Source organism: Homo sapiens, chromosome 18 (genome assembly GCF_000001405.40).
Source record: "Homo sapiens chromosome 18, GRCh38.p14 Primary Assembly".
Classification (NCBI taxonomy): Eukaryota; Metazoa; Chordata; class Mammalia; order Primates; family Hominidae; genus Homo; species Homo sapiens.
Window position 1 is genome coordinate 27,563,266 of NC_000018.10, and position 13,131 is coordinate 27,576,396.

Below are 13,131 nucleotides of genomic sequence, written 5' to 3' on the forward strand. Positions count from 1 at the left end.
CATGCCTCGAACCCTGTCTCTCTCTCCAACCTCATCTTGTTCCAGTGTCTCTCTCATTCATTTTGGTTTATCCCATCTCAAGAGTTTTACTTACTCTTTTTCTCTGCATAGATAGCTTTTGCTTCCTTTACTCCTTCTGTCTTTGGGTCTCAGGGTCCACATGGCCTATTTGGAAACATCCCTAAAATGGCCTCTGCTTTTCTCCCTCTAAACTCCTTGTTTGTTCTCTTCCTAGCACTTATTAGACTTGAACATTTTTTGTCTATCTTTTAACTTGTTTTGTGGCTGCCTCCCCCAGAAACAATTAGCTCTGTAAAGATTAGCACCTATCTGTTTAATTTGTGATAGTATTTCTCATATCTAGAAAATTGTCTAATACATGGTAGATACTTGATGAATATGTTTTGAATGAATGAATGTTTCTAAGGCACTTTTTCCAAGTGTCTTTGACAGGAATTATATTGAGAGTGTAACTAGTCTTATTTCAAAACCTTATTGTCTTTGGATGTAGAAAGATTTGAAATTATTTTGAACAAATATCAAATTCTTCACTCAACTTCTCCAACCATATTCAAATTACATTTACTAATGAGTCTGGGTTGTTACTGAGTTATAGATGCCTTGAGTAAATGGAGAAGAGGTACATGTCCAAAAAAATCAATTTTTACAGAACCATCTAAGTCTGCTTTCAATGTTGTGGCACAATCTTACCAAATAAAAAGATGGTAACATGGGTAAATAGAATGGAATTCCCATGTTTATTGTTACAACCAGAGTGACTACAGAGTTCTGCAGGTTCTAATAGTGACCCCAGAGTAAAATAGACTTGTGCTTCTACATCCTCCAATGTCATTAGGAGTAAGCCTGCCCTGAGGTAATGTCTGTTTTGCACAGTTTCTGCCAGAGGTAATGATCAGTGGTGAAGTATGGCCAGCACAGGGCTCGAAATGCTTTGGAAGGCCAAGACAGCTGGCTGAAGTAATTTGGCCTCAGACAGAGGAATTGGCAAGTGCCGGAGACACACACTGGATTACCCTCCCTTTCCCAAAATAAATTAAATGCTGACCAGCATTTCTCTTGGGATAATCAGGAAATTGGACCCATGATCATGTCATCAAATATCCTTCTCAAGGGAATCCAAATTATGTAACTGGCTCCACTCTGGAAGGCTCAGTCACGTACTCATCATGGCATACTTTTTGGATAAACTTTGTTTGAAAGAGCTGAACACAAAAATATATAGGCAGCTGTTTGTGTCCACTCTTTCCAAGGTCACACCAGAGTTTGTGTTATCCTATGAAGAATTTTATGTCACTTTGCAGGGACAGTGGGTAAACTGTCCTCTCAAATTAGATTTTACTTCCATTTGCAGGTACTTTTTTTAGAATGAAAGCCTTATTTGACTTAATTGCAACAAAATTACCACCACCAAACAGTTTACATAACTATGAAGTTAATAAACGTGGTTCATATTTTTTTTTTTGACGGAGTCTCGCTCTGTTGCCCAGGCTAGAGTGCAGTGGCGCAATCTCTACTCACTGCAAGCTCTGCCTCCCGGGTTCACGCCATTCTCCTGCCTCAGCCTCCCGAGTAGCTGGGACTACAGGCACCTGCCACCATGCCCAGCTAATTTTTTTGTATTTTTTTTAGTAAAGACGGGGTTTCACCATGTTAGCCAGAATGGTCTCAATCTCCTGACCTGCTGATCCGCCTGCCCTGGCCTCCCAAGTGGTTCATATTTCTTAACCCTTTAAGAAGGGGTAGCACATTAAGTACTTTCTATAGGAATATTTCTAATAAGTGATGAATACACTAATTTTTCTCATTTGCCCAAGTGGGTCTTTTTTCAGATTAATGTATCTCAATTATCATAATAGTTGCTAATAGTCAATTTTTTTCAACTTTCTCTTCCTCTAACTCTGCTTCAGTCAAGTCCTTTTCAAAATGAAATGTCACAAATTGAATATGATGATGCTGATTTTGTTCAGATCAATGTAAAATATAATGAAACTATAACCAGGATAGTAGGAAAATAGATCTGAAATCATAGCTACATTCCTGTTAAGTGAAATTTCAAGTTCTTTGCCAGGCTTCTGTGTTACTGTTAGTGGAGTAGATGGTCCTTATGTTTACCTGAGCACTATGGTGGGTTTGGGGAAGCCTGGGACTGAGCTTCAGAGTAGAAGCAGAGGAATAATCCAATTGCTCCACCAAATAGAAGAATTTGGAAGGCAGAAATCTTGAAAAATTGAGGGAGAAGTAAGAGAAAAGAAGGAGAGATAAATAATAGAAAATAAATTATGACAGATTAGGGAAAAATCTCAAGTGGTAGGGTAGTTAAAAGACTTTCAGAAGAAGGACATCTAATATACAATTTCAAGTTTTTAAATTTCTACAGTGTAACTTCCTGTGAGTCTTCAGTGAGGTGTACTCTTCTCTCTCTGTGAATCTCAGTGTGTGTGTAAATCAGGGAAAGGTCCAACTCCATCAGTGCACCCCATATCACCACGTGGAAGAGGAGCAGCTGCTAAAGACAGTCACGTGATCCATTACCTGGGTTAATTAAGTGGAGGTAAATCCCAAAGCCAGAGGTGGCCACAAGAACATAATCCCTCTCTGATTTTACAGTCATTTCTGAATCATGCCCAACTTGGAGAAAATTTAAGACAAGGAAATCCCTTCTGCTAACTATAGAAAAGGTGCAAAAGAGCTGCTGGCAAGCAGAGAGAAAGCCATCTCTAGAGCTTTCTCAGTAATTGAGTCCAGCAATGTTCAGAGGGAGTAGAGCGCAAAGCTGAACTTCCTTAGACACATAGGTAAGAAAGAGATCACTGCAGGAAGGAAGATTAACGAATTTCTGCAAAAAGCAGTTGAAGTTCTGATAGAAGCAATAAACCATTTTAATAGAGACTGGTATGGGATGTAGGCAAGAAGAAGGACACAGCCACAGGGTAACGAAAGCAGAGAATGCAAGCAGGACTCGGATGGAGACAAGTGCATTAGATACATCTGGCTACAGGCTTCAGGTTCTTCATGAATTTCTGTATGTGGAATAACTGGGAGGTATCTTGACCAGCGCAGGTATATTACTTGAGTTTGTTGTATTTAATAAGGTAAAATAGAGAGTAAACCAATAGTGTGAGCTCATTCATGTTCAACTAATTGTATGTCTCTTTTTGGAAGTCTTGACTCTGTAAAGTTCTTTAAAAGATGATATAGATCCTACCTGGACTGGGAGGTCCCTGTCTGACAATTTTTGGTGTGATTCTGGAACCCAGAGAGAGCAAAACAAGTTAAGTACATCCCTCGCAACTTACTGCACCAATAAAAATAATGAATATATCCATTTTCATATAGGTTTAACATGTGATACCAAGTAGGCACAAACGGTGGAAGAAAAGAATGACAGGAAGGTATATCGATATAGTACTTATCCAGTAGTTTCTCTGCTTTGTAAACAATAAAAAACATGGTTAAGTGATATTTGGCAAAGTAAAGAGAATCTTAGGAACTGACACCTTATATTAAACCCTTTCCATCCAGAAGGAGTTCTATTATTAAAATATTCTTCTTCTTTTGAAGCATAATTTCATGAAAAAAATTGGTTGGCCCGCATCCTGGCTAACACGGTGAAACCCCGTCTCTACTAAAAATACAAAAAATTAGCCGGGCATGGTGGCGGGCGCCTGTAGTCCCAGCTACTCAGGAGGCTGAGGCAGAAGAATGGCATAAATCTGGGAGGCGGAGTTTGCAGTGAGCTGAGATCACGCCACTGTACTCCAGCCTGGGCGACAGAGTGAGACTCCATCTAAAAAAAAATGGATGTGATTTGGCCGGGCACGGTGGCTCGGGAGGCTGAGGCAGGAGAATTGCTTGAACACCTGAGGTGGAGGTTGCAGTGAGCTGAGATCACGCCATTGCACTCCAGCCTGGGCAACAAGAGCAAAACTCCATCTAAAAAAAAAAAAAAAAAAAAAAAAGATGTGATTCAATAATAGCCCTACATTTTTCTAAGAAACATTTTTTTCTTCTCAGGTAATGAAATGATAATAACAACAAAAAACAGAGAACTCTTGACAAAAAGGGACCAACTCAGTGTTCCACAGTAACTCATATGTGTGTATATATGTGTGTGTGTGTGTGTGTGTGTGTGTGTGTGTACTTATTATGGTTCTTAGTGATGTTCTTCTCTTCTGTCACCATGGAAATTGACATCAAATTATTTTCAATGTATTTCTGAAAGGAGAATGAGTGCTTCTAGCACATAATAGAGGTATTCATACCATTTAATAAAACTGACCACAGTGCTAATGGAAATCTACTTGATGATGTATGGTATTTAAAAAATCATTCTTTATTCTCTAAAAGCAAAATACACTGCCTTACTTTGTAAGAAAACCTACTCAACAACTCCACAAGAGGTTACGAGTGGCAGAAAAGCTCTCACATTCAAGGGAATGGTGGTGAGATGAAAGATTTCTTTTCAATTTTAGTTTCTTTTCATTTAAAAGGAAAGGGGAAAGAAGACACTGGCTTCAAATGCATCTGAATAGAGTAGATGAATTAATAAATGTTGTGCATACTTGTAGTCAAAAGGGAGCTTATGAAAAGGAAAAGCAAGATGCCACTGCTTGGTGAACACCTAAGACTTTATGAATAAGGAAATCATTAACATTCAGATGAAGTCGTAACCAAGCAGCTATTTAAATGGGACAATTAGCTGGTGCTTTCCTGAAGATGGCCTGCGCAGGGGCAGAGTAGCTGACTCTCTGTTGACAATATTACCTTCTCCCTTTCTTCCAGTCGGAATACACATACTGTGAAATTGTATGCTTTCATCTACATTATATTTATTTCCACCACTCCCTGAAGGTAAAAAGAGACTTTCTCAATGGTCCTTTTATCATAGATCATAGATTAATACCCCAGGAACCTATTCTGCTTTGTACGTTTACCTCACTCATTTTCCTCAAAAATTCTATTTTTCTGGGTTTATGGCCATGGCCAGTCCTGCTGCACCAAAACTGCAGATACGGCAGATGATGCAGAGAAAAATCCATTGCAGAAGTTCATGATGGCAAGGCAGGAAATCATGAATCTGGAACCCAGGCGTTCAGTCTAGGTGAGGTGCCATGATTTAGATTCAAAGAATCACTTCTTTCTTCACTCTAAAATTGTTTTAAATGGGTCTGGGCTCTTTGGATGAGGCGGACTCCTCCATTCACGCAGCTGCCTGAGACCATGGAAGTACCAGCATCCCTCCCTGAAAGACCAGTGAAGCCCTGAGAAGTAGATCCCCCTGGATCTATAACTTCAGACATACTATGCACTGTGAATTTGCTCATTCAATAGCAAAACAAAGAAAAAAGTAAACTCAGCCAAATCCAAGTGGTCATTTTTAAGCAATTTGAAACAGACATAAGCCTGTAAGGCCTGGCCTGACTGACCTATTCTTTGTTCTGGGCAAGGAAATAGTAGCCAGGGCACTATGCTAGTCTGGGCAGCCCCAACTGTGTTGATGGCAAGAATTTAGGGATTGCCTAATGCTCCTCAAGAATCATTTGTTCCAGCTTCACTGCAGGGGGTGGGGCTGGGAGTGGGGGTGATGATGGGGGATGTGTGCAAGGAAATACTTGTAAGATTTTTCAGAAAAAGAGGACCAGGAGCCTCCAGGGAACGCCCTTAAGTAACTCGCACACGCGGGACCTGTTCCCACCTAGGACCACAGGCTCAAGGTGGCAGGTAGATGCAGCCAGCAGGCGCCTCTCCTCCAAAGGGAACCAAAGGAACCAGTAGATTTTCACACTCGGAACAGATCGACTAAGAGAACGCAGGGATTCAGCTGAGAAGTCACAGGGAGCCTGAGGAGCTGAGCAGAGGCAGCCGGGCAGCCTGAACGGAGAAATCGGATTGGCAGAGACCGCCTGCAGCTCCCGGGTAGGGGAAACGGGAAGATGTCCCCCACTACAAAGCAAATTGACAAACTTGTGTGTCTGGAATTGGTTCCTTCCGGTGGGTTCTTGGTCCCATTGACTTCAAGAATGAAGCTGCGGACCCTTGTGGTGAGTGTTACACTTCTTAAAGATGGTGTGTCCAGAGTTTGTTCTTTCAGATGTTCAGATGTGTCCAGAGTTTCTTCCTTCTGGTAGGTTCATGGTGTTGCTGACTTCAGAAGTGAACCAGCAGACCTTCGCAGTGAGTGCTACAGCTCTTACAGGTGGCGCGTCCGGAGTTGTTCATTCCTCCCGGTGGGTTCCTGGTCTTGCTGGCTTCAGGAGTGAAGCTGCAGACCTTCGCAGTGAGTGTTACAGCTCATAAAGGTAGTACAGACCCAAAGAGTGAGCAGCAGCAAGATTTATTGCGAACAGCGAAAGAACAAAGCTTCCACAGAGTGGAAGGGGACCTCAGCCAGTTGCCGCTGCTGGCTCCGGTGGCCAGCTTTTATTCCCTTATTTGGCCCCGCCCATGTCCTGCTGATTGGTCCGTTTTACAGAGTGCTGATTGATGCGTTTTTACAGAGTGCTGATTGGTGCATTTACAAACCTTTAGCTAGACACAGAGCGCTGATTGGTGCATTTATAATCCTTTAACTAGACGGAAAAGTTCTCCAAGTCCACACTTGACCCAGGAAGTCCAGCTGGCTTCACCTCTCACTTGGAAGAAGCGATTTACACAGGATGTGCAGATCTCAACAAAAGGACACAGGAAACATGAAAAAGCAAAGAAATGTGACGCCTCCAAAGGAACCCAGTAATTCTCCAGCAACCAATCCCAATCCAAAAGAAACTGAAGATATTTTGGATAGAGAATTGAATATACTGATTATACAGTCAATGGGCAAGGTGCAAGAGTCATTTGGAAAAGAACAAAGGGAAAAGATGGAAACAAGGGTCTGCAGGAACAATTTACCCACTGCAATGATATTTTTAAAAGGAACCTGACAATACTTCTGAAACTGAAAAAAAATCACTAGATGAAATACAAAGTAAACTCAAAAGCTTCAATGACAGAATAAAACAAGTAGAAGAAAACCTCTCAAAACTTAAAATCTGAAGCATATGTCTTAAAGGTTTAAAGGGTTATACTCTGGTCATTAATGTGAGTGAAATCTGCTGGGTCAATTGTTATACTGGGGTCTTGCATAATCATTAAAGTGAAATGAGAATAAAAAGGAAAAGAAAAGAAAAAGAATATACTAGGCCCAAAAATCAGTCAAGCATATTTCAGAGTATCACTGAGTTTCGGACTATGTCAGTGAGCAAATTTGAGAGTATTTCAATGAGTGTTTATGTTAAAGAATTATGTTCATGTTCTCGAAGACTCTTATGGATCTGATAAGACTTCCATTACTCTCCTTACAATTAAATTGTCATGTGTTGTCACTAGATATGTCACATTGAGATCTGTGTATACTCTTCCCCAAAGATAAATTCACAAATTGCTGCCAGTGAAACTGCAATGTTTGGAACACTCTTGTGAGGAGATTCTCTCTAAAGAGACCTACAATCTGATATTGCTACTGAAAAACAGAGACAAAACCCATCAGTTAAAGCCACCTCAAATGTGGTAGTGGATTTGTTATAGACTGTCAATGCTGCCAATCATTTCTGCTCCAAAATGACTTTTTTAAAAGCACCAAAACAATTTCCCCATTGTAAACAGACACTAGTGGTGAGAAAAAAATATGGGAGTGATAGAAAGGCAAGCTCTAGCAAGATATTTAGTTAGAAAAACAAAACAGAAGAAAAACAAAGAAAAGAGAAGAATTATATAAGCAGAGGGCTAAAGCCAGTGTAGCCAATGTAATTAATTGTTGTTTGGGGTAGAAAATAGGATAAAGGGACAGTAGAAACACCATTGGAAGTGGTCCCTACAACTCTTATATCTTCAATTTGTTCCTTTCTTCATATTTAAAATCCACAACTTGGGCATGGTGACTCATGCCCATAGTCCCAGCTACCTGAGATGCCAAGGCAGGAGGACTGCTTGAGCCCAGGAGTTTGAGGCTGCAGGGAGCTATGATTATGCCATTGCACTCTAGCTTGTGCAACAGACCAAAACCCTATCTCTAAAATAAAAATCCATAATTAGGGCCCTAGAAAAATGAACAATTCCTGGCTTGGACAATCACACAGACACACACCCACACACACACACACACAACTGTATTAAAGTGTAAAGAGGAAAATAACTTTCACTGCTTTTTACCTCTGTTGAGCCTCCACTCTTTCCATAAGTAGTATTGTCATCTTTCTGAACGAAGCACACGAGGCTCAGAGGTGTGACCTCAAGTCCTAAGATCACGAAGTCACTGAGCAGCAGAGCCTGGGTTCAGACAGGGGCCCATGGTGTTTTTACTACTTTATCCTAGAATGCCTGGATACTGTAAACTTTTGCATTGCATAATGTCATTAATAGCTATACATTTCACCTGGTTCCATAAAGCTAAGATATCAAGAACACTTTGAAATTGTTAAAGAGAACAGCAGATTTCATTTGTATGTTGCTCTAAAGTTTGCTAATACATTATTCTTCTACTGTAAAATGAAATTATCAGAAATAAGATCCATAGCTAAGATACAGTGGAGAAGGAACCCAAATGTTATTTCCTCATTTCCAGTATGCTTTGGACTACATCATGACTGTCTTAGTTTCCCTAGAAATTCGTCAATTCATTCAGTTTACACATATACCAGAATGCTTACTATGTGTTAGGCACTGCACTAAGTGTTGAGACAATGGTGAGAAATAACCAAATACACTGCTTGCTGTCAGGGAACACAACTAACAGTGAACAAATAACTTATGTACCAACATTCAATCTCCTATGAAAGAAATTATGTGTTTCATGGAGGGCATGTAATGACTGGGAATGGGGAAGTGTGAGTCTGACACAGTCATAGGCGTCAGGGGAGAAATTCCTGGTTCTAAGATCTGAAGAATATATACAAATTTATCAAAAGAATGGAGGTGAGAACATTCAAGGAAAGGTAATAGCAAAGGTCTTGACACTAAAGAGAATACGGTGGGTTCAAGAAACTAAAAATGCATCTATTGTGGCTAGAGTTCAGAAAATGAGCAGGAGGAAGATAAGAGATGAAACTAGAAAAGGTAGTCAACACCAGATTACTCATGGACGCACAGGCCATTTCTCATATTTCTGGAGGCAGCGAAGTCTAAGATCCAGGTGTCAGCAGATTTGCTTCTGGTGAGGTCCACTTCCTGGTTTGCAGATGGCCATCTTCTCATTGTATCCTTACATGGCAGATAGCAGAGAGAGGAAGCAGACTGTCCTGTCTTCACCTGTAAGGGCACTAATTCCATTCACGAGAGCTCCACCCTCATGACCTAATTATCTCCCAAAGGCCTCCTATATCATCTCCTTGGGGTTAGGGTTTCAACATAAGAATTTTGGGGTGACACAAACGTTCAGTCCGTAACACCAGGTGAAAGATACTGGTTTTAATTTGAAAACAAGGAGAAGCCCCACAGAATTTTCAGCAGGGTAGATATGATTTATGTAACACCAATATGTATACATGCATAATATGAATGAGACATCTGCCAATTTCTTTTTCAAGTGTATTTTTTGAAGCATGAATGAGAGTTGAATTTTGACAATTTTTTTTTTTTTTTGGAGACAGAATCTTGCTCTGTCCCCCAGGCTGGAGTGCAATGGCGCAATCTTGGCTCAGCTCACTGCAACCCCTGTCTCCCAGGTTCAAGCAATTCTCATGCCTCAGCCTCCTGAGTAGCTGGGATTACAGGCACTTGCCACCACACCTGGCTAATTTTTTGTATTTTTAGTAGAGACAGGGTTTCACCATGTTGGCCAGGCTGGTCTCGAACTCCTGACCTCAGGTGATCTGCCCACCTCAGCCTCCCAAAGTGCTGGGATTACAGGCATGAGCCACAGCGCCCAGCCAAACTTTCACAAACAATCTTTTAATGCTCTATGAAGATAATTGCATGCTTTTCTTCTGTTATTAATATGATTAAGTCCAGTTGGTCATGACATGATATATGTTGTTTTTATAAGGATGTGGGATTCTGTTGCTAATTTATTGACATTTTTGTGTTGATACTCATAAGTGAGATTGCACTATAGTACATTTGGTATATTCTTTGTCAGTTTTAATATCAATGTAAATTTATTTCATAAAACAAATTTGGAGGTTTCTTACTTTTGCAGTGGTCTGGAATGGTGAAATAGGATTGAGAATACCTAACCCTGTGAAGTTTGGGAGCATAATGCAAGAAGCCATCTGGTCTTCAAGTGTATTTTTTGTGGAAGAGCTCTTTTACAACTTTCTTTAACTCTTATATGAAAATTTGTCAGAAGAGAACTTCTATCTCTATTGCAGTCAATTTTATTAATTGCATTTTTCCAGAAAGTTAAACATTTTATATCGATTTTCAAATTTATTTATATAAAGTGATGCAAAGAAGTCTCTTTTAAATTTTTCCTCTCTTTGGTGGTTATTTAAACTTTCCCATTTTATGAATTTTGCTTTCTTCTTTTATGAAAGTTTGATTTGCTAGAAATTTATCTATTTTGTAGATTTTTTTTCCTCTAAAGTACAAGCCTTTTGATTTATTAATTAATTATGTTGGTTTGTGTGTGTGTGTGAATGTGTGTGTGCATGTGTTTTAAGATTTTCTAACTCGTCAGTTCTTGTCTTCTCCTTTTTTTTTTTTTTCTTATTTGCTTCTTGAGTTTGTGATGCCTGTGAACTTCCAAGTGGAGCTGTCAGGTAGGCAATTGGATGTACAGTTCTGGACCTTAAATAGAAGTTTGAAGTAGAGATATACATTTGGACATTACTGCATGTTCCTGTTACTATCAATATGTAACAAACCACCTCAAACTTTATGGGAAGGGAAGAATCATTTTATTGTGCTCAAGGGGTCTGTGAGTCAAGAACACAGAAAAAACACAGCAAGGATGGCTTGACTCTGTTCTGTGATGTTCAGGCCACAGCTGGAAAAACTCAAAGGCAGGAGGGCAGCTCCACAAATGGGGCTGGAGTCAGCTGAGGGCTCCTGCACTCACATGTCTGGTTCCTAACCAGAAAGAGCCTAAAGTCTAGGACTGCCGACTAGAGCAGAGAGCTTTCATGTTGTGTCTCTGTGCAGCTGGCTTCCTTACGTCATGGCAAACTCAGGAAAGTCAGACTTCTTACTTGGTGGTTCAAGAACCCAAGTCGAGATGTTCTAACAAGCCAAACAGAAGACTCTCCATTTATGACTTATTCTCAGAAATTACTCAAACTCAATTACACTGCGCATTATTGGTTATAAGCAAGTCACAAATCTGCCCAAATTCAAGAGCAGAGTAATGAGATTCCACTTCTTTTATTTATTTATTTTTTTAAGATGGAGTTTTGCACTTGTCGCCCAGGCTGGAGTGCAATGGGGCGGACTCGGCTCACTGCAGCCTCCACCTCCTGGGTTCAAGCGACTCTCCTGCCTCAGCCTCCCGAGTAGTTGGGATTACAGGTGCCCTCCAACATGCCTGGCTAATTTTTGTATTTTTACCAGAAATGGGATTTCACCATGTTGGCCAGATTGGTCTCGAACTCCTGACCTCAGGTGATTCGCCCACTTAAGCCTCCCAAAATGTTGGGATTACAAGCGTGAGCCACCACGACCGGCCGAGATTCCACCTCTTGATGGAGGCTTAGCAAGATTCTGAAAGGGTTTTTGAGACAGGAGATATGTAGATATGTATGTGACCATCTTTGGAAAATACAATCTTCCGCAGTATGTACATTGCACCTGAAGCCAGTAGTCAAGGACCAGAAAGCCTCATAAGAAGAGAGAGAAGAGGTTCTAAAACTTGGATGTATGTTCAGAATCATCTAGAGGATTTGCTGAGCTTCACTCCAGAGTTTCTGATCTAGTAAATAAGTTTTGAGATTCTGGGGTGGGGCCTGAACTGTGCATCCTTGACAGTATCAGATTTGTTGATGCCACTGATTCAGGGATCCCACTAGTACAGACACTGAGATAGAACCAAACGAAAAAAGGGCTGAGATAAAGCCCAGAGGAGATTCCAATAAAAGAATGAGCCAGTACAGTTTACTGAGAATATGCACCTAAGAGGGAGTGTTGTCAGAGAAGCCAAAAGCAGATAGTGTTTCAAAAGAGGTCAGAAAGGGAAGGTTTCTTTCATGGTTAATTCCATTACCAAAACTTTATTATCTTTCTTTCATCCTATTGCTCTGAGAGTTTCTAATTTAATTTACATCAGAAGATAGGATTTGCTTTTATTTTATTTTGACCTGAATTTTATATGTACACCCTTCTGTGGCTGACACATTTCAAAGTCAAATGTATTTGACTCAGATATATAAATTCAATAATGTGTCCTAGGTACAGGGATTGAAAGCTCCTCATTTTCTACTTTAACAAATGGTGGTAATAGTCTATTATTTTATAGGCTCAAAGATCATTTGTATTTTACATGATATGACATTACGCTTGCATTTGAATTTAACCACAACTAATGCCCTGGGAATCTACATGTAAAATAGAATAATGATGTCATACTAATAGTCTGATTAGAAATTAACCAAGACATTTTCTGATTTTCTTAGTCTCTCTCCACCCACCTTTATTATATTGTCACGCTGCGTGGGTATGAATCACAAATAGAGCTCAGTCTAAACAAAGGTAATCTTTCTAGGCAAAACAATTGTTGGAATTATATTTTCCTTGATAGAACTGAAAGAAGACTCTTAAAATTTAGTGGGAACTGTTTCATTTGGTCATTTGAAAAACTACTATTGGCCAGGAGTAGTGCCTCATGCCTCTAATCCCAGCATTTTGGAGGCTGAGGCGGGTGGATCACTTGAGGTCAGGCCAGGCAAGACCAATCTGGCCAACATGGAGAAACCCCACCACTACTAAAAATACAAAAATTAGTCGGGCGTGGTGGCGGGTGCCTGTAATCCCAGCTACTTGGGAGTTTGAGGCACTAGAATTGCTTCAAGCCGGGAGGCAGAGGTTGAAGTGAGCGGAGATCATGCCACTGCACTCCAGCCTGGGTGACAGAGCAAGACTCCATCTCAGAAAAATAAATAAATAAAACAAAATAAAATTAAAAGGGGCTACTATCGGTTTAAAAAT

General features: G+C 40.3%; 1 long non-coding RNA gene across 2 annotated transcripts in view, besides 1 other annotated feature; it reads right to left on the reverse strand.

Moving 5' to 3' along the window:
• LOC107985126 (uncharacterized) overlaps positions 1-13,131 on the reverse strand; it is a 93,388-nt gene that overhangs the window by 61,509 nt on the left and 18,748 nt on the right. The window lies entirely within an intron of this gene.
• Positions 6,082-7,281: an enhancer, noted in NCBI's record as "BRD4-independent group 4 enhancer chr18:25149311-25150510 (GRCh37/hg19 assembly coordinates)". NCBI's record gives its function as "activates an origin of replication core promoter dependent on BRD2, P300/CBP, MED14 and CDK7 cofactors, and independent of BRD4, by STARR-seq in HCT116 cells {active_cell/tissue: HCT116}" and the evidence as "EXISTENCE:reporter gene assay evidence [ECO:0000049][PMID:35650434]".